The sequence below is a fragment of the Homo sapiens genome, chromosome 8 (assembly GCF_000001405.40).
Source record: "Homo sapiens chromosome 8, GRCh38.p14 Primary Assembly".
NCBI lineage: Eukaryota > Metazoa > Chordata > Mammalia > Primates > Hominidae > Homo > Homo sapiens.
Genome location: NC_000008.11, coordinates 58,622,322 through 58,644,217, shown reverse-complemented (window position 1 = coordinate 58,644,217; position 21,896 = coordinate 58,622,322). Strand labels below are relative to the sequence as shown.

The 21,896-nt window shown below is 37.5% G+C and overlaps 1 protein-coding gene across 28 annotated transcripts in view; it reads left to right on the top strand.

Annotated features, from left to right (window-relative positions):
• The window catches only part of NSMAF (neutral sphingomyelinase activation associated factor), a 76,350-nt gene that overhangs the window by 15,636 nt on the left and 38,818 nt on the right, over positions 1-21,896 (top strand). For 18 of the 28 annotated variants that reach the window (NR_182088.1, NR_182085.1, NR_182087.1 and 15 more), the window contains 8 exons: positions 1,145-1,234; positions 8,672-8,750; positions 8,846-8,913; positions 8,993-9,029; positions 12,672-12,722; positions 20,438-20,509; positions 20,794-20,841; positions 20,946-20,998. Coding sequence is in view for 22 of the 28 variants with exons in the window: in NM_001144772.1 (NP_001138244.1) it covers positions 1,145-1,234; positions 8,672-8,750; positions 8,846-8,913; positions 8,993-9,029; positions 12,672-12,722; positions 20,438-20,509; positions 20,794-20,841; positions 20,946-20,998 (498 nt within the window). In the remaining 6 variants the exon portion in view is untranslated. Of the gene's footprint in view, positions 1-1,144; positions 1,235-4,115; positions 4,251-6,714; positions 6,994-7,957; positions 8,027-8,671; positions 8,751-8,845; positions 8,914-8,992; positions 9,030-12,671; positions 12,723-20,437; positions 20,510-20,735; positions 20,842-20,945; positions 20,999-21,896 lie in introns of those variants that run through there. The other 10 variants (NM_001413003.1, NM_001413004.1, NM_001413006.1 and 7 more) reach the window with 10 other exon arrangements.

Here is a 21,896-nt window from a genome sequence, read left to right as displayed (position 1 = left end):
GTGAAATAAACATATATGTGTAATCTGCCATGTTTAATGTAAATTTCTTCCTCCAACACACTGGAACTTAAGGCCCATCTCAAGTCCCACACTTTTCATGAAAGCTTTTGCCTGTAACTCATTGATGTTTCCTGGTCCTTATCACAAAACAAAACAAAAAAATGCCTGTTTTCACTTCTTTGTCATGTATTTGTTGCTGTAGCCATACAACAAAATTAATAATTTTTCTTAATGACTTCTCTTGTTTTTAAAAGTTTAAATGACTTTCAACTTTAAAAAGAACTATATTTCAATCCCATTCAGTTTGGTTTACTCATTTTACTTATTAAACACCCATTGTGTAGACAGCATGGGCTGGTTATCACAAGGGAATATCTAAAGATCTGTTGGCTGGGCCGGTGGCTCATGCTTGTAATCCCAGCACTTTGGGAGGCCGAGGTGGGTGGATTACGTGAGGTTGGGAGTTCGAGACCAGCCTTACCAACATGGAGAAACCCTGTCTCTACTAAAAATACAAAATTAGCCAGGCATGGTGGTGCATGCCTGTAATCCCAGCTACTTGGGAGGCTGAGGCAGGAGAATTACTTGAACCCGGGAGGTGGAGGTTACTTGAGCTGAGACTGCGCCATTTTACTCCAGGCTGGGCAACAAGAGTGAAACTCCGTCCCAAAAAAAAAAAAAAAGATCTGTCCCTAGAGGCATGTGTTCTTGTGGGAGTAACTCAGATAACCATGAGGCAGATGTTGGGGGCAGGGAGGTATGACAGGGAAGAGGTGGGGAAGCCTAGCATTGTTCAGTCAGGGGAAACAAATGCTCAAAATTCCCTAAGTAGGAAAGCGCTGAGCTTTGTTCAGATAAGGATAAGTTTAACTTCACAAAATTCAGGGTTTCTGTAAAAGAGTAGTACATCCACCTGGTGAGTGATTTTATTTTTGACATAGTAGTTATTTGGACACAAGGCAAGCCCAGCTATGTACTTCCCGCCACTGGGTAGAGAGGACTGCCTGGCATGATATACATGCTTCATAAATGTTTGTTAAATTCAAGAATGGAAAAGCTTTTTGGGATCAGACGTTTTAAATATATTGCCTTCTTATACTTACTAAAAAATAAACTGAAAGTTGTTTTTTCGCCCCAAATCCAGATTTTCCTTGCTGCTGCTTAACTTGGAGGAGTACTACTTTGAACAGCATAGAGCCAATCACATTTTGCACAAGGGCAGTCACCATGAAAGGTAAGGAAGCTTCGGTATCTCCTTGGACAAACAAACCTTTCTGATATCTGAACTTTTAAAGTTAAATGTGTGATCATATAGGTGTTAACTAAAGAAAAAATTAGGCTTTAAAAAAAATTAAAGTAAATTTTATTTAGACTTTTATTGAGGATTATAACCTAGGAGAGTCTTTTGGAGAGTTTTTGCTATGTTTATTATTTTATCTCCCATGAAGTTTTTTTCATCTTTTCTCTTATTAGGGAAGTAATGAGAAGAGTGTATTTAAAAGTTATAATTGTAACTTGAAACCTTTTTCAAAGCTAAAAAGCATTTGTTCCAATTCTGGGGTTGTAGATATCTTAAGCTTGATAGGACTCCAGTCCATCCCATCATTTTTTTGTTGCATCCCTCTTGTAGTTATGCAGTATCCTCTGCTCTCAATTATTCGGGTGACAATGTTATAAAGTAATGATTATAAACCACAAGAGTGGTATAAAATCAGTACTTTCAAAATGAGTCATGCGATTTGAACTAGAAGCAAGATCTGATTTCTCAGTATCTTAATAACTATTACTCACTACTATAAAAACAGATTGTTTCTTTGACTTTACCTTTTGAAAGCTATGTACAGAAGCATGTAATGAAGCTTTTTGTTTGCTTAAAATGGCAACTTAGAATTAACTAAGATGAAAATTGTTCCACCAAAAAGGTATCTGCTAATGATTTCCTTTTGGGAGGTTACTTAACAACTGTAAGCCATAACTTAGGAAATTCTTTGACAGTAGATAAATCCACTTATTTTTATTATTCTTCAGGTTTATCCTTAACGGATCAAAAACATGTGGTATTTGTTTAAATACAAGCTAAAGTAAAACTCACTTGGTTTTTTTGTTTAGTAGCTTATGACATATCTATTTTCTTGGCATTCAATCAAATTAGACAATTATTCATCCCTGAACACAGCACCTTGCTTTCTTATCTCTGGAATTTTGCTCATATTCTTTTCCCTAATTCCATATCTTTTTTCCTTCCAACATTCTTCTATCGTATATCATCATAGTGCCTTGCTTAAAATTAAATGTACTTGTTTATTATTAAAATACAACTACAGGTAGCAAACTGAAACCTGTTTTTATAATTTTAAAGTAACTATTAGGGCAAAATGGTACAGCCCCATGTAGGTGTATTTGGTAATATCTGGTAAGATGACATGTGCATTAACCTATTGATCTAGCAATGCTACTTCTAGGATACCATTTCAAAGAGAACTGGCAGTTATATAAATGGACATATGCACAAGGTTATTATAGCACTACTTGTACTAGTAAAAGACTAGGAACAATCCTACAGGAGACTGACTGAACTGACTGATAAGAAATGGCCACATGATGGAGTACTATGCAGGTTCAACAAGGAATGAAGTTCTTTGTAATGCTATGAAGTGATCTCTACATGTATTAAGTGTAAAAAGCAAGGGACAGGATACTGTGTGTCATAAGCTACTTTTGTCAGAAGGGGGCAGATTTATCACTATGTTTTTAAAAATCGGAGGCATAAACTAAAAGCTAGTGGAGACAGTTATCTACACAGAAGAGGGGAAGGATCAGAAGAACAATATAGAGATGGAATGAGGACTTCTCCAAATGTACCTTATTTTGTAACTTTCGTTTTGGAACCATATAAACATTTTATAGATTTTTACTACACTTTATCTTAGCTAAGAGGCTGAGAGGGCATCTTTTGTAGATTTTTAATATAGAATTAAATTTAAAAAGAAACAGTAAGGCCAGGTGTGGTGGCTCATGCCTGTAATCCCAGTACTTTGGGAGGCCGAGGCTGGTGGATCACTTGAGGCTAGGAGTTTGAGACCAGCCTGGCCAACACGGTGAAACCTCGTCTCTGCTAAAATACAAAAATTAGCCAGGCGTGGTGGTGCACCCTTGTAATCCCAGCTACTTGGGAGACTGAGGCAGGAGAATTGCTTGAACTTGGGAGGCGGAGGTTGCAGTGAGCCAGGATCATGCCACTGCACTCCAGCCTGGGTGACAAAGCAAGACTCTGTCTCAAAAATAAATCAATCAATAAATAAAAATAAAAAAGAAACAGTAAACCCTAAAAATCAAAGAGAAAATGAAACAGTTCAGGTGTGGTGGTTCACACTCGTAATCCCAGCACTTTAGTAAGCCAAGGCAGTACAGTACGATCTCTTGTGGCCAGGAGTTTGAGACCAGCCTGATCAACATAGCGAAACTCTGTTTCTATTTATTACAATTATATATTAAAAAAAGAAAAGACAAGAAACAAATGAATTTAATTATAAAGTTGGAGTTAGCCACAGAAAATTATTTTAATCAACTTTACAATATAATAATTTGACTGTGTATCTCTGGTAAGATGAAAAAGTATTGCAAAGAAGTTGAAAAAGAATGTAAAGTAATTGTAAACTTTTCCAGTTGCAATATTGTTGTTATTAGTATACTATTAGTATTATTATTTTGAAACTATTTTATACATGCATGTATATGTATTTATATAATTGGATAAAACAATTTAATAAGTATGGCCAAGACTCAGATTTTCCAGTATAAAAGAAAAGAGACATACATGTAATATTAAAGAAATAAAGCCTTTTTCATGCACTTTCCTCCTTTTTTCCAGCTTTATTGAGATATAATTGATGAATAAAAATTGTATATATTTAGGGTATACAATTTGATGTTTTGATATACATACACATTGTGAAATGCTGACCACAATCAAAGTAATTATCATATCCATCACCTCACAGTTACCTTCTTTTGTGTGTGTGGGAATAAGAACATATAAGATCTACTCTCTGAGCCAATTTCAAGTGTATGATGTGGTATGGACTGTAGTCAATAACTCTACATTAAATCTGCAGAACTTATCCTGGATAATGGACAACTTGTGCACTTTGCCCAGCATCTCCCCATTTCTTCCACCCCCTTTAATTTCGTGAAGTTTAACTTACTCTTGCCTGAACAAAGCTCTGAGCTTTCCCACCTAAAAAATTTTCGTAAGTTCCATTCTTGTCTCTTCTTTGAATTAAACTCTTTTAGAGTCTACGTGAAATCATGTAGTATTTGTCCTTCTGTGGCTGGCTTATTTTACTTAGCATAATGTCCTCCAAGTCCATCCACATGGCCACAAGTAGCAGGATTTCCTTTTTTGAGGCTGAATAATATTCCATTGTGTGTATGTATGTATGTCTATTTTTATATGTTTTATATTCATATATATATCATATTTTCTTTATTCATTAATCTATCAATGGACACTTAGATTGATCCCAAATCTTGGCTACTGTAAATAATACTGTAATGAACATGGGAGTACAGATACATCTTCAACATACTGGCTCCATTTGCTTTGGATGTATACCCAGAAGTGGGATTGCTGGATAGTATGGTAGTTCTATTTTTAGTTTTTTGAGAAACCTCTGTACTGTTTTCTTTAATGGCTAAACCAATTCATATTCCCACCAGCAGTATATAAGGGTTCTCTTTTCTCCACGCTCTTGCCAACAACTGTTATCTTTTGTTTTTTGATAATAGCCATCCTAACAGGTGTGAAGCAATAGCTTAATGTGGTTTTGATTTGCTTTTCTCTGATGATTAAGGCTGCTGAGGATCTTTTCATATGCTTGTTGGCCATTTGTATGTCTTCTTCTTCTTCTTCTTCTTCTTTTTTTTTTTTTATTGAGACGGAGTCTCACTCTGTCACCTAGGCTGAAGTGCAGTGGCGTGATCTCTGCTCACTGCAACCTCTGCCTTCCGGGTTCAAGCGATTCTCCTGCCTTAGTCTCCCAAGTAGCTGGGCGTACAGCACGTGCCACCATTTCTGGCTAATTTTTTTGTATTTTTATTAGAGACGGGGTTTCACCGTGTTAGCCAGGATGGTGTCGATCTCCTGATCTTGTGAACCACCCGCCTCGGCCTCCGAAAGTGCTGGGATTACAGGCGTGAGCCACCACACCCACCCATTTGTATGTCTTCTTTTGAGATATGTCTATTCAGGTCCTCTGCCTGTCTTTTAATAGGCTATTTGTTTTCTTATTATACTATCAAGTTGTTCGAGTTTTTTATGTATTTTGGATATTAGCCCCTTATCAGAAGTATGGTTTTCAACTATTTTCTCCCATTCCGTAGGTTGTCTTTTGACTTTGTTAATTATTTTTCTTGATGCACAGAAGCTTTTTGTTTTATGTAATCCCATTTGTCTATTTTTGCTTATATTGCCTGTGCTTTTGGAGTCATCCAAAATACTGCCCAGACCAATGCCGAGAAGCTTTTCTGTATTTTTTCTTTCAGCAGTTTTACAATTTCAGGACTTACATTTAAGTCTTCAGTTCATTTCAAGTAGATTTTTATGTATGGGATGAGGTAAGGGTTCACTTTTTTTTTTCCACGGGGATATCTAGTTTTCCCAACACCATTTATTAAATAAACTATCCTTTCTTCATTGTGTGTTTTTGGCACCTTTGTGGATGATTAGTTGACTGCATATATGTGGATGTATTGTGTTCCATTGGTCTGTACAGCTGTATCATGCTGTTTTGATTAATGTAGCTTTGTAGTATATTTTGAAACCAGGTAGTTTGATGCCACCAGTTTTGTTCTTCTTGTTCAAGATTACTCTGGACCAGGCATGGTGGCTTGCACCTGTAATGCCAGCTACTCAGGAGGCTGAGGAGGGAGGATCACTTGAGACCAGGAGTTGGAGACCAGCCTGAGCAACCTAGCAAGACCCCATCTCTAAAAAAACTAAAAATTAGCTGGGCATGGTGGTGCACACCTGGAGTCACAGCTACTTGGAAAGCTGAAGCAGGAGGATTGATTGAGCCCATTTTGAGGCTGCAGTGAGCTATAATCATGCTACTGAACTCTAGCCTGGGTGACATAGTGAGATCCCATTTCTTAAAATGAAACAAAACAGATTGTTTTGGGTGTTTTGTTTATTTTGTGGGTCAATATCAATGTTAATTTCTTTTTTTCTGTTTCTGTTAAAAATGCCATTGGGATTTTAATAGGGTTTGCTTTTAATTTGTAGATTGCTTTGGAAAATATGGACATTTTAGCAGTATTAATTCTTCCAGTCTGTGAACACCAGATATCTTTCTATTTATTTGTGTCTACTTCAGTTTCTTTCATCAGTGTTTTGTAGTTTTCAGTGTACAGACTTTTTACCTCCTTGGTTAAATTTATTCCTAAGTGTTTTGTTTTTCCTTTGGTGCTTTTATAAATTGAATTGTTTCTGTAATTTCTTTTTTGGATAGATCATTGTTAGCATATAGAAATGCAACGCTGTTTTTTGTATATTGATTTTGTATTCTTCAGTTTTACTGAATTTGTTTATTGGTTTGAATAGTTTTTTTGATAGAATCCTTAGGGTTTTTGTATACATATAAAATCATGTTATTTGCTAACAGAGACAGTTTAACTTTTCCAATTTGGATGCCTGTTCTTTCTTTTACTTGCCAAATTGCTCTGGCTAGGATTTCCAGTACTATGTTGAATAGTAGTGGTAAGAGTGGGCACCTTTGTGTTGCTTTTCTCTTTAAATGACAGTATTTCTTACCTCTATCTTTTGAAAAGGCCTAGAAATAACTCAGTTGCAATCAGCACCAAGAATCTGGTCTCTTAATACCACTTCCCACTGAAAGGATGGGGGTTCTTTGGAGAAATTGCTGATTCTAAGTCAGAGGCAGGAAATCTGTGAGATGAACCTGGGACATCCTGTCATACTGGCAAGTAAGGAAGGTATCAAAGACTACTGTAAATGAATTAAAAGGATGCAGGGGCAAGTAGACGATGCTGACATTGGGCCAAAAATGCGACAATGTAAGCATCAGAAAAGAATAACTTCTGCAATGGATTGAAATGTTTCATAAATGTTAAAATTCATGAGTACGTAATTTTATAAATATGTGTGTTTGTGTGTGGGTGTGTGTGTGTGTGTGTGTGTGTATAATCTTAATCAGTTATCCTCGAAGGATAGGAAGACAACAACTCATTTTTGTAACACTTGATAAATAAAGGTAAAGAATCAAGCATTTTTGTTATTTTCCTTGTACAAATTGTACTTCAGGGTAGCCAAATTGCTGATAAGTAAAGTTGTTCTTTTTTGTCAAATTCTAGCTCATAACATAGAAGGAATGATAAAATTTCAATGCCTAATGGAAGAATGGATTCACAGCAGGGCTTGGCAAACTACAGCCCTTGGGCCATATCTGAGCTGCCACTTGTTCTTGTAAAGTTTTACTGGAACACAGGCATTCCCATTTGTGTACATACTGTGTGTGGCTGCTTTCCCTATAACAGCAAAGTTGAATGGTTGTGACTGAGACCATATGGCCCACAAAGCAAAGATATTTACTATCTGGCTCTTTACAGAAAGTTTACCAGCCCTTGATCTAGATAGTAATTTTCAATAGCTGCTAAAACCTTTAGGTGAGAGAAGCTGCTGGGAAATTTTGTAATGGCTATATGGAGATTGACATCACCTGATCCTCTGGGTGCCTCTGGATGTGAAGGCAGTACCCGTGTACTACCTCTGAAAGTATTCTTTGAACACTGGCTGTATACATGATGACATTAAAGAATTATTAATTTCTTAGAGTGTGTTAATGATTGGTCACTTATTAAGAGAGGCTGTCTTCAGAGATTTTTGCTAAAATATTTGTGGATAAAGTATATGATGTCAATAATTTTCTGTGTTATTCAGCAGGGTCCCAGGGGGTTATACACAAGACAAGAGTGACCACATATTGACAATTGTAGAGCTAGGCCATTGGTACATGGGAGTTTTCTATTCTATTTGTATATGTTTAGAAATTTCATAAAAGTTTTTATGTTACTATTGGGTAATTTTGGGTATTAGAAAAGTAAATGCAGTTAACAACTTGGAAAAATGATATGAAATGGTATAAAATTTCAAAAACCCTTTGAGAAAGAATTGCAAACTAAATCATAACCTTCAGTAGAATGGGCCTTCTCATCTATTCAGTACATGTATATTGAGCACTGAGAATAGAAAGCCAAAGTAAATATTTACTGCTCACAAAAGAACAGGCAGTGTTACTCTGGGGTGGGATGAGTGTAGGCATTCTCAGTCTGTAAGACTATTTCTCAGTGTGATGTTTCTGGATTCATTAAGTTTCTAGCCAATAGATGCTGTAAACTATATGGAGATACACATATAAACCAAAGAAGTTTAATTAAAAACTTTCTAACATTTGAATTGTAAATGCCAATATGAACCACTATTCTGTGTTTTGTTTTACCAGTTAATTTAAAAATAGAGACGTTCTCTTTATATGCATTATTGATCTTTTATTATGTGATGCTTTAGTAACCTGCTTTCTAGTTAAAATGTACTATGATTATCTTGTGATTTTTGTTATGCTCATCAAACAATCTGTTGTACTTGGATCCCTAGGAAAATCAGAGGCTCCTTAAAAATATGTTCAAAATCGGTGATTTTTGAACCAGATTCAATATCCCAGCCCATCATCAAGGTAAATACATTTTAAATATGAACAGAAACATTCCTATTTTTTGTGTATGTCTTACCTTTCTTGATTTTTATAATATTTCTCTCAATTTTATCCAGATTCCTTTGAGAGACTGTATAAAAATAGGAAAGCATGGAGAAAATGGAGCCAATAGACACTTCACAAAGTATGTCATTTTCACCACTGTTTAATTTTACTTCAACCAAAAAGCTGTATATATTTAATGACTTTTATCTGTATTTTAGGGCAAAATCTGGGGGTATTTCACTCATTTTCAGTCAGGTAAGCACATAATAAATATTTTTTCCTAATCTGAATGAACATTCTTATATATGTGCATGAATGAAATTACTTGTAGAGATATCAGATGAAGACCATGGAATAGAAATCAAATGCTTTTAGAATTCAGTCATTGAGAAATATAGTTTTAAAAAGATGTGATCCCTAATGAGCTTCTTCATGTTTATTAAGTGTGTGATATCTGTGGGCTTGCGGTTTTGTCCTTGGAGCTCTCACGATTTATGATTTACGAGGCTTGAAATGAAGGGATGCAGCTCTTCCCGTAGCTTCCTAGCTATTTAGAAGGTGAGAGTCCATTGCCATGCCACTTAAATGATCTCAGGGACTTAGGACAACCAAGGCAATGACTTGGGATTGGTGGTCTTGTATCATTATGACCCTTGTGGTAATAACCTTTTGTTCATTCCAGATTTATTCCCTTTATATTTATGCACCCACCACTGCACTCAATATAGGCATGACAGCATTGGCAATAAAAGGTCAATTAAAACATGCTTTTTCTCCTGTCATATTATTAATTAGTATGTAGATTTAAAAAATTGTAAATAAGAAGGGACTACTTTCTTTTGGCTCTGGGTTTCATCTGCTTCATCTTTAAAGCGAAAGGGTTAGCAGATGTTGCCTTGACAGCTCTCGTTCCTTGGGGTGTTGAAGTGTTCAGAGAAGAATTGTTCTGGGATGAATAAGGGATAAGAAAAGCTGTGGGAACAAAGATGCACGGACTTGCTGACTTCAAAACTTGACTTAAATCCTCTCATGCAACAGACCAGAGTGTCCCTAGGAGGCAGATGGGGAGGGGAAGAGCATGCTCCCAGCACTTTTTCTATCACTGAAGCCTTTTGTTCACAGAACACTTTTAACATGTGTTGAAAGTTATTTTATGAAAGCTGAGAGGTAGCAGATGATTTGATTTTCTACATCTACCTTCCATGATTCTATTAATTTTAAGGAAGAAAACATTTCACAGGCTTCCTCAACTTCATGTTGTTTTAACTGGTATATGTGAAGACAGTGACAACCATCTACTGCTCTGGGGACCAAACATCGTTATTAATAATTCTGGTCCACCTCCATACTCTCATGTCTATCGTGTCATTTTACTTCATGACCTGGTTCCACAAAGCCCATATCTTGAAAGGAAGAGGTACTTTTTGACTTGAAGATAGGGTTTTCATTATAAAACTATACATTTTAGTTATTTTAGTAAAAATTTAATAACTTTGAGCTTAGGAATAAAGCCCCCAAATTCCTCCACCTACTTTTTTAATAGTTTATAGAAGAGGTCTTGTATGAAACCAGCTCAAAACCAGCCCGACACAAGCTACTCTTTCAAGCATTATTTAAAGCTTCCTGTGTCAAGTATACAACCAGGCAACTTTTGGGTTTTTTGAATATATACTAGGTCACAAGATCTCAGAAATATAGTACGGTGCTTTATATTTAGAGAGCTTTGCTTCCAATTTTTTTGTTGCTGCTAAAGAAGGGTGTGTGCATGTTTATATGAATAACAGATTCGACTCATGGATTCAATAAGTATTATATTCAGGGCTCTGGCAATCTAGGGAAGAACAAGATATCTGAAGCCTTTTGCTCCATGGACTTTACTTTTCAGTGGGGGAGACAGACAATAAACAAATGTCTCCTCTAATGTCAGGTGGTAACAAATGCTATGAAGAAAATGAAAGCAAGACAGAAGGATAGAAAATGATAAGGAATGTTCTCATGCTGCTTTAGAAAGAGTAGTCAGGGATGCCTCACTGAGAAGAGGCCACTTACCAAGAGACTCAGAAGGCTTAAGGCATTGAGCTGTGCAATTATCACAAACACTGGTATTCCAGGTACAGAGAGTGGTGGGGGAGAAGCCTGAAGGTGGGCATGTCCTTGACAGGTGGGAGGCACAGGAGTGTGAGTGCTCCTGGGGTGCGTGAGTCAAGGAGAACACTCAAGGGAGGCTGGAATAGGGGCAGGGACCGTGTCATGCGGGGCCTTGTGGGCCAAGGTAAGGACTTAGAATAAAGCGCAGAGAGAAATGCCACTGGAGAGCTGAAAGAGAAGGGGTGTGTCTGATTTGTATGTAAGTCTCTCTGGGGGCTGGGTAGAGAACACGCTGTACAAACCAGGGCAAGAGTGGAAGCAAGGAGACCTATTGGGGTGTTCCAGGAATCCAAGTGTATTGAACCACGATGGTGAGAGGTGGTCATTGTCTAGGTATATTCTGAAGAAAACCCAACAGATGTGCTGACGGATTGGTCGCAGGGTATAAAAGGGAACAGTCAAGAATGACTCCAATGAGATAGACAGTAGTGCCCTTTATAGTGATAAAGAGAGTTGGGAAGGAGCAGGCTTCAAGTAGGATGTGAGATTTAAGATGGCCATGAGAACTCCAAGGGGAGACGTCCAGCAGGCATTTGGATGCATCCATCTGGGTTTCAGAGAGGAGGCAGAGGCTAGCAAGACATACTGGGGAGCTGGAAGTTTCTAGAGACTTTTTAAAGCCCTGTGGCTGGATAAGATTTCCTGGGGACTGAGAGTGGACAGAGTGGTGTGAGAACTAAGGCCCTGCACCTCTCTAATTTAAGAGATTGGGAACAAAGCAAGGTCCAAAAGTAGACGGAAGGAGTAGCCAGTGAGGTTGGAGAGAAGCAGGAGCAGGTGTCCAGGAAGCCATGTGGAAAACTGCTTCAGGAAGAGCCATCAGCTCTGTCACATGCTCTGAGAAGGAGAGTCAAGGAAGACTTAAGAATTGATTGTATGGTGACGTGGAGATCTTATGCACTTCATGTGACCATCTAAAAGTGATTTCAATAATATGGTAGGGATGAAAACCTGTCATGGGCCCAAGGGAAGGTACAGACAGCCCTTGCAATGAATTTTGCCACAAAAGGGAACAGAAATGGCAAAAGGAGGATGTGAGATTAAGGGGAAGTATGTTTGTGGGGGTGTGTGTGTGTAAAAGGGAGAGAGTGCAGTATATAATCCTAAGAGCAAAGCTTTTGAATATCTGACAGGTTTGGGGAGGTGTTCACATTCTGTGCCCTAGTAGAGGGGCTGGACTTTGAGAGCTCAGGTAACTTCCATTGTTGCAGGAGGAAAAGCAGTGAGGAAAGTACAGGTACAAGGAGATTGATGGCTCTGGTAGATGGTGTCACTTATTCCACATAGTTATTAATATACTATGTAAGGACCAGTGGCCCAGTGCATGTGAAAACACCATGTGCCCAGATGACCTCTAAGTTTTCTTTATGTTAGTGAACATATTTCCTACCACAGTAACTTTGTTTTACCCGTTTCTTAAAAAATCAGCACTTGGATTAGCCTCCTTCCCTGTCTGCTTGGTTACTTGGTGCAAGTGATGGCATTCATAAAATGTCTTCTGTATTTATTTATCTTGTAATTGTTGCTATCTTGTTGCCTGGATGATTCTCTTTTTAATTTGATATTTGTTATTTTAACACCAGTACTTTAAAGCCATACTAGTACTAATACTAAAGCAAATACTTCTGGAAATAGAGATTATATAACAATGATTTAAAACTTTTGATTGATAATGTTCTGATTTGTAGTTACTCTTTACAATGAAACATTTTGGTTATTATTTTACAAGTATTGCTTTTTCTTGCTCAGGTATATTTCATTAAAGAACATAATGTTGTTGCACCATATAAAATAGAAAGGGTAAGTAAAGCTTTTCATGTATTTCCAGCAATTTATATAGTCATTTTGAACAATAAAATTTTGTGACTCTATTAACATCTTTAATCAAATATAATAATAATGAGTATTTAAAAGCTTCTTACCTGGAAGTTATAACAAAATTACCCAAGGGAGCCACAGATTTTATTTCAAGAGAATTCAATTAACTTTTTGACTTAAAAAAAAAAGTGCCTAAAAAAAAAACACCCAAATGATTAGGTTAGAAATTAAAATCAGAATATGCATTATTTATAAGATTATTTACTGGGTGTTACTGAGAATTTATTTACCAGTACGTTACTAAAAAATTTAGTTTTAAAAATATTCTAGAAATATTTACTGGTTATAACATACTCTTATTTGAGAACTCAATAATAATTTGTAAGTACTCTTAATTAGGTAGAAACTATGAGTAGACTTGGATACAATGTCTGGTTCCCTGGGACCTTTCACTTAAGCATAGACATTTCATTTAACTATTCTGTAATTTAATTCTTTATGCTTCAGCTTAATACATAGTAGAGGGATAACTCCTACTAAAAGAGAGTTTTTACAGGACCTAAGGACAGGGCTAGTGCTCCTTATAATGACATCCGAGTGAATTAGGAAAAGCCACCATTTGTGGGCAAACATAGTCCCACAGGCTGAATCTGAATTTCAGTTTCAGGCCAGTCTGCAATCTCTTAGGCGGCACAAATTGTATACTCAGTGGCCTCTGGGTTTTACGGACAAGAAATACTTGCATGTGCTGATTAGTCAGAAAGTATAAATACTGAGATTTAATTATTCTCAAGTGGTGCTTTTGGCATTTTGGGCAGGATGGTTCTTTATTGTGTGGGGCTGTCACTTATATTACAGCTCTTTCCCCTAACAAATGCCTCTCGTACACTGCTCCCCTTGTTTTTGTTACAGCACCTCCACACATTGACAAAAGCCTTTGGGGGCAGTAGGAAACCCTACCCCCAAGTTGAGAACCACTCACCTGGGGTGCCCTTCCTCTAAAGGCTCTCGTGAGAGCCAGCTGAATTGCATACCTGCACATGGTTCATTGAAAGATTATGTGAAAGGAAATAAAAGTGAGGTTGTCTGAGTAAAGAAAAGCTCTTTTGTTCCAATGTGAATTATAATACCAAAGCATTCTCAGATTAAAAAAAAAAAAAGGGTGAGGTGGAATGACAGCAGCAAGATGGCAGAATAGGAAGTTCTAGCCCCTCCTTCCTCCTGTGAAGACACTGATTCAGCAACACATGGACAAATTCCCTTTGTGAGAAATCTGGAAACCAGTTAAGAGGATCCTGCACCCCCGGTGAGCATGAAACTAACCACATCAAAGCCGGTATAAAAATTTGTGTCACTATCTGGCCATCCTCTGTCCCACACAGCACCACATGATTGGGAAGAAATTTCCCAGCCTCTAGCTTCTCCCTGGAGAGGGAAAGAGAAAATTGGACTATACATCCAGAGTTCTGACTTTTCAGGGGAGCTGCCCAAGGGACTGGCTTCTGTCTCTTCTGTCTCAGAGTACAGATGGAACCCTGCATACTCTAGATGCCTGGAGCCACTGATAACAAAAGAGAGCTGGGTAGCACGCTACTGCTTCAAAGGACCTGTGGTACAGCAGACATCTAGACACGAGAGACAGCAAAGGAGTCCAAGCTTCTGAAAAAAATGAAACCAATAAATTTCTCTAATTAGGAATCTACATGCATAAGTCCAGAGAAGACACTTCCATAGAAAAGGTTTGAGAGGCCTCCAGCATCTCTAGCCAGGCTGATTAATGAAGGTCTCTTTCTCTGTATGAAGCCAGTCCTTAGAGACTGGAGAGGTAATTGTTTTTGTTGTTGTTGTTGTTGTTTTTAATGTGTGGATATTAGCACAAAATTAGAGGGAGCACAAAGAATCAGAGAAAAATAGTCCAATCAGAGGTACAAAATAAATTTTCAGAAACCAACCCTAAAGAAAAGGGGCTATATTAATTACCTGACAAGGAATTCAAAACTATTGTCATAAAGATGCTTAATGAGCTCAGGAAAATTATGCATGAAGAAAATGAGAATTTTAACAAAGAGAATATTAACAAAGAGAAAATATAAAGAAGAACTGAACAGAAATTTTGGAGAAGAATGTAGTAACTTAACTAAAAAGTTCACTAGAGGAGTTCAGCACAGACTATAAATCAGAAGAAAAAATCAGCAAACTGGAACACAGGTCTTTTGAAATTATCCAGTCAGGGGAGCTAAGAGAAAAAAGAATGAAAAAGAGTTAAGAAAGCCTAAAGTACTAATGACACACCGTCAAGTGGACCAAATACATAATATGCGAGTCCAAGAAAGAGAAGAGAGAGAGAAAGAAACAGAAAGTGTATTTAAAGAGATAATGGCCCCAAACTTGCCAAAACAGAGGAAGGAGATGGACATCCAGATTTAAGAAGTCTTCCACATAGGAGGACTTCAGAGATGTCCTTACCAAGACACATGATAATCAGATTATCAGAAGTAAGAGTTAATTTTGAAAGCAGCAAGAGAAAAGTGTCTGGTCACAGAAGAAAGCCCCCACAAAATGATCAGATTTTTCACCAGAAAGCTTGCAGGTCAGAAAATTGGATGATAAATTCAGAATGGTAAAAACAAAACCAAATAAAACAAACAAATAAAAATGCCTGCCAACAAAGAACACTGTATCTGGCAAATTGTCCTTGAAAAAAATGGAGAGATAAGGACTTTCCCAGATAAACAAAAGCTCAGAGTTTACCACCATTAGATCTGCTTTATAGGAAATGCTAAAGTGAGTCCTTCAATTTGAAACAAAAAGATACTAAACACCAACATGAAAGTGTAGGAATTATAAATCTTGCTGATAAAGGCAAATACAGAATACTGTAGTGCTGTAATGGTGGTGTGTAAATCAGTTTAATTCTGGTATACAAATTAAAAGACAAAAGTATAAAAACCCCATAACTAGAAATCTGTGTTAATGAATACACAATATAAATGGATGTAATTTGAGATATCATTAACATAAAAGGAGACAGGTATCTGAAGGAATAGTTTTTGTATGTGACTGAAGTTAAGTTGTTAACAGATTAAAAGAGATTATTATAACTGTAAGATGTTTTATATAAGACCCATGGTAACCACAGAGAAAATACCTATAGAAGATACACTAAAGAAGAGTTTTTCCAATATTATCATGTAGAATTTTTATGGTTTCAGGTTTTAGGTTTAAGTCTTTGATCCATCTTGTGTTGATTTTTGTATAAAGTAAGAGATAAGGATCCAGTTTCATTCTTCTACATGTGGCTTGCCAGTTTTCCTAGCACCATTTATTGAATAGGGTGTCCTTTCCCCACTGTATGTTTTTGTATGCTTTGTCAAAGATCAGTTGGCTATAAGTATTTGGCTTTATTTCTGGGTTGTCTGTTCTGTTCCATTGGTCTATGTACCTGTTGTTATACTAGCCCCATGCTATTTTGGTAACTATAGCATTGTAGTATATTTTGAAGTTGAATAATGTGATGCCCCCAGATTTGTTCTTTTTGCTTAGTACTGCTTTGGCTATTTGGGCTCTTTTTTGGTGCCATATGGATTTTAGGATTGTTTCTGATTGACAAAGGTATTTTGATGGGAGTTCTGTGAAGAGTGATGGTGGTATCTTGATAAGAACTGCATTGAATCTGTAGCTTGCTTTAGGCAGTATGGTCATTTTCACAATATTGATTCTACCCATCCATGAGCATGGGATATGTTTCCATTTGTTTGTGTCATCTATGATTTCTTTCAATAGTGTTTTATAGTTTTTCTTGTAGAGCTATTTTACCTCCTTGGTTAAGTATAACCATAAGTATTTTATTTTATTTTTTTTGCAGCTGTTATAAAAGGAATGGAATTGTTGATTTGATTCTTAGCTTGGCCGTTGTTGGTGTATAGCAGTGCTACTGATTTGTGTACATTGATTTTCTATCTGGAGAATTTACTGAATTCATTTATTAGATCTAAGAGCTTTTTGGATGAGTCTTTAGAGTTTTCTAGGTAAATGGTCATATCATTGGTGGACAGTGACAGTTTGACCTCCTTTTTTCCAATTTGGATGCCCTTTCTTTTCTGTCTGATTGCTGTGGCTAGGACTTCCATTACTATGTTGAATAGAAGTGGTGAAAGTGGGTAACCTTGTCTTGTTCCAGTTTTCAGGGGCGTAGGCAAAGAATTCATGACTAAGAACCCAAAAGCAAATGCAACAAAAACAAAAATAAATAAACGGGACCTAATTAAACTAAAAAGCTTCTGCACAGCAAAAGAAATAACCAGCAGAGTAAACAGACAACCCACAGAGTGGGAGAAAATTTTCGCAAACCACACATCCGGCAAAGGACTAACATCCAGAATCTACGAGGAACCTCAAACAAATCAGCAAGCAAAAAACAAATAATCCCATCAAGAAGTAGGCAAAGAACATGAATAGACAATTCTCAAAAGAAGACATACAAACAACTAGCAAACATATGAAAAAATGCTCACCATTATTAATTATCAAGGACATGCAAATTAAAACCACAATGAGGTATCACCTTACTTAGTGAGAATGGCCATAATTAAAAAGTCAAAAAATAATAGACGTTGGCATGGATTTGGTGAAAAGGGAGCACTTTTACACTGCTGGTAGGAATGTAAACTAATACAACCACTGTAGAAACAGTATAGAGATTCCTTAAAGAATTAAAAGTAGAACTACCTTTCAATCCAGCAATCCCACTGTCAGGTATCTACCCAAAGAAAAAGAAGCCATTATGTGAACAAGACACATGCACACACATAGTTATAGTAACACAATTTGCAATTGCAAAAATATGAAACCAACATAAATGCCCATCAACCAACAAGTGGAAAAAGTCCTATATATATACACCATGGAATACTACTGAGCCATAAAACAAAATGAAATAATGGCCTTTGAGCAACTTGGATGGAGCTAAAGGCCATTACTCTAAGTTAAATAACTCAGGAATGGAAAACCAGATTATTGTATGTTCTCACTTATAAGTGGGAGCTAAGATATGAGAATGCAAAGACATAAGAATTATATAATGGGGCCGGGTGCAGTGGCTCATGCCTGTAATCCCAGCACTTTGGGAGGCCAAGGTGGGCAGATCACGAGGTCAGGAGATCGAGACCATCCTGGTTAACACTGTGAAACCTGTCTCTACTAAAAATACAAAAAATTAGCCGGGCGAGGCAAGTGCCTGTAGTCCCAGCTACTTGGGAGGCTGAGACAGGAGAATGGTGTGAACCCAGGAGGCAGAGCTTGCAGAGAGCCAAGATCGCGCCACTGCACTCCATCCAGCCTGGGTGACACAGTGAGACTCCATCTCAAAAAAAAAAAAAAAAAAAAAGAATTATATAATGGACTTTGGGGGCTTAGGGGGAAGGATGGGGGTGGTGATGACGGATAAAAAAACTACATATTGGGTACGTACACTGCTTAGGTGACAGGTAAACCAAAACCTCAGAGAACTTATTTATGTAACCAAAAACCACCTGTACCACAAAAACTATCAAAATAAATTTTAAAAAAAATGAGGAGGAAATCAAACTATGTCATGATAAAATGTCAACACAAAGGAAGATAGAGGACAAAAGAGGACAAATGAGCTACAAGACAGAAAACAGTTAAAATGGCAACAGTAAGTCCTTCCCTATCAATAATTAAGTATATCAAACTCCCCAATCAAAAAATATGGAGTGCCTGAATGGATTAAAACAAATAAGATCTAAAACTATATGCCATCTGCAAGAGACTCATTTTCGGTTTAAGGACACAGATAGGCTGAAAGTGAAAGGATGGGAAAAAATATTCCATGCTTGGTAATCAAACAACAGAGCTAGCCATACTTATATCAGACAAGATAGGCTTTAAATAAAAAACTTTCACAAGAGACGAAGGATATTATGTAATGATAAAAGGGTCAATTTATCAGAAAGATAAATAATTACAAATGCATTAGTCAGGGTTCTCCAGAGAAACAGAACCAATAGGATGTGTGTGTACATACATTCACACATATATATACATACATACATACATACATATGCATATACATATATACAGACATATACACCCATCTAGGGGTATATTGCTGTATATATGTATATATACAGAGAGAGAAATTGATTTATTATAAGGTATTGAATCATGTGATTATAGAGGCCAAGAATTCCAGACCCAGGAGAGAGGCAATGGTATAGCGTTTAGTCTGAGTCTGAATGCAAGTCTGAAGGCAGGAGAAAACCAATATCCCAGCTTGAAGACAGGAAGAAAGAGTGTTTTTCCCATTTAGACTTTTATTCGATTTAGGCCCTCAATGGATCCGATGAGGCCCACCCACATTGGGGAGGGCAATCTGTTTTACTCAGTCTCCTAATTCAAATGCTAATCTCATCCAGAAACATCCTCACAGATACACCCAGGGATAATGTTTAACTAAATATTTGGTCACTCTATGGCCCAGTCAAGCTGACATATAAAATTAATCATCACCATATGTATGTACCCAACCTCAGAACATCTAAATATATGAAGCGAACATTGATAGAACTGAAGGGAGAAATAGATAGCAACACAATAATGGTAGGAGATTTCAATACCACACTTTCGACAATGGGTAGAACGTTCAGATAGGACATCAGTAAGGAAACAGAGGACTTGCACAACACTGTAGACCCAATGGACCTAACAGATATGCAGAGCTTTCTACCCAACAGCAGCAGAATACACTTTCCTCTCAAGCACATGGAATATTCTCCAGGACAGATCACATGTGAGGTCACAAAACAAGTCCTAACAAATTTAAGAGGATTAAAATAATATTGTGTATATTTTTCCAATCATAATGGAATGAAACTAGAAATCAACATCAGAAGGAAAACTGAGAATATGTGAAAATTAAACAACATTCTCTCAAAAAACCAATGGGTCAAAGAAAAAAAAAAAGAGAAAATTTAAAATCTTGAGATAAATGAAAACATGATATACCAAAACTTAGGTGATGCAGCAAAAGCAGTATAAACAGGGAAGTTTATAGAATTAAATGTCTACGTTAAAAAAGAAGAAATACCTCAAATAAAAATCCTAACTCTAGGCCAGGTGTGGTGGTTCACACCTGTAATCCCAGCACTGTGGGAGGCCGAGGCGGGTGGATCACCTGAGGTCAGGAGTTTGAGATCAGCCTGGCCAACATGGTGAAACCCCGCCCTGTCTCTACTAAAAATACAAAAATTAGCCGGGTGCGGTGGTGCACACCTCTAGCCCCAGCTACTCGGGAGGCTGAGGCAGGAGAATCACTTGAACCCAGGAGACGGAGGTTGCAGTGAGCCGAGATCGTGCCACTGCACGCCAGCCTGGGCGACAGAACAAGACTCTGTCTCAAAAAAAAAAAAAAAAAAAAAAAATCCTAACTCTATACCTTAAGGGTTTGGAACAAGAAGGGCAAACTAAACCCAAAGTTAGAAGAAGGAAGGAAATAATAAATAGAGCAGCAAATTATGTAGACTTGCTCCCCTAGAACTCTCATTCCAGTGGGGAAGTTACACTAGGTAAAACATGCAGATTTTATCATAGCAGGTTCTGTACACATGTTCTTAAAGTAGCATAGTTTGGCACACTTCTTCTCTTCCTGTATTTTGATATCTTCCCCTTTTTGTTAGGGCAAAATGGAATATGTTTTTGAATTGGATGTTCCCGGGAAAGTGGAAGATGTTGTGGAGACGTTGCTTCAGGTAAGCACTTGCTGGGTAGAAAATTCAAAGCAAACTGAGGCAAAAACTGTTTTTATAAATTTCGTATTTATATACCTTACCCAAATCATCATCTGTTTTCTAAATATGTAGCAGATTGACTTAAAATGTTGAGTTTAAAAACTATATATTAGGAAGAAGCCATAGGTATATCAGAAGTAATCTTGACTGTTAACAGAATGATTGCTGTTTCTCATTGCTTCTAAAGAAATACTTCATATCATCTGAGAGAAAAAATAAATTCATGTCTGTTTATGATACTGTAGCTTCACAGAGCATCCTGCCTTGACAAATTGGGTGACCAAACCGCCATGGTAAGTATTCTTAACAATGTCTGTCTTTGATTGTCAATTAACTTGTATTGATATTTTACTTATAAATACTTATAAATACTTTTTTTCTGGTTCTGTTTTAATAGATAACAGCTATTTTGCAGTCTCGTTTAGCTAGAACATCATTTGACAAAAACAGGTAAGTTTCTAATGATCTTTCCTAATTAGAAAAGTGGTGGACATTTTCATCTGTATGCCTCATTCAGCAAATCCAAGCCTGCTGTCATCATTGGTCTCACCCAAAACCTGCTTGTCTTAGAGAATGGCTCAGCCTCAGTGCAGGAGAACTCTCTAGCGCTTCCTCAACTCTTCTCCATCCTGATGTCTGTCAGTCAGAAAGGTCTGTTAGATGCTTCGGTTTCTGCTTCTGTGTTTTCACATTGTGTTGCCTCAGTTCAGGCCACCGTCACCTCCCACCCAGAACACTAGCACAGCTTTTAGTTCACCTACCTGACTCCATCTTCCCTTCTCTACTTTTCTTCTCCTCCCTCTACCTGACATTGTTTTAAAATATGTTCTTTCTAAGGGCCAGGTGCAGTGGCTCAGGCCTATAATCCCAGCACTTTAGGAAGCCAAGGTGGGAGAATCACTTGAGCTCAGAGTTTGAGACCAGCCTGGGCAACATAGTGAGATCCTGTCTCTGCAAAATTAAAAATTAAAAAATTAGGCTGGGCACGGTGGCTCATGCCTGTAATCCCAGCACTTCGGGAGGCTGAGGTGGGCAGATCACGAGGTCAGGAGTTCAAGACCAGCCTGGCCAAAATAGTGAAACCCTGTTTCTACTAAAAATATAAAAAATTACCCAGGCATGGTGGCGGGCACCTGTAATCCTAGCTACTCAGGAGGCTGAGGCAGAAGAATCGCTTGAACCTGGGAAGCGGAGGTTGCAGTGAGCTAAGATCATGCCACTGCACTCCAGCTCGGGTGACAGTGCGAGACTCCATCTAAAAAAAAAAAAATTAGTTGGGCATGGTGGTGCACACCTGAAGTTCCAGCTACTTGAGAGGCAAGGTGGGAGGATCCCTTGAGCCCAGGAG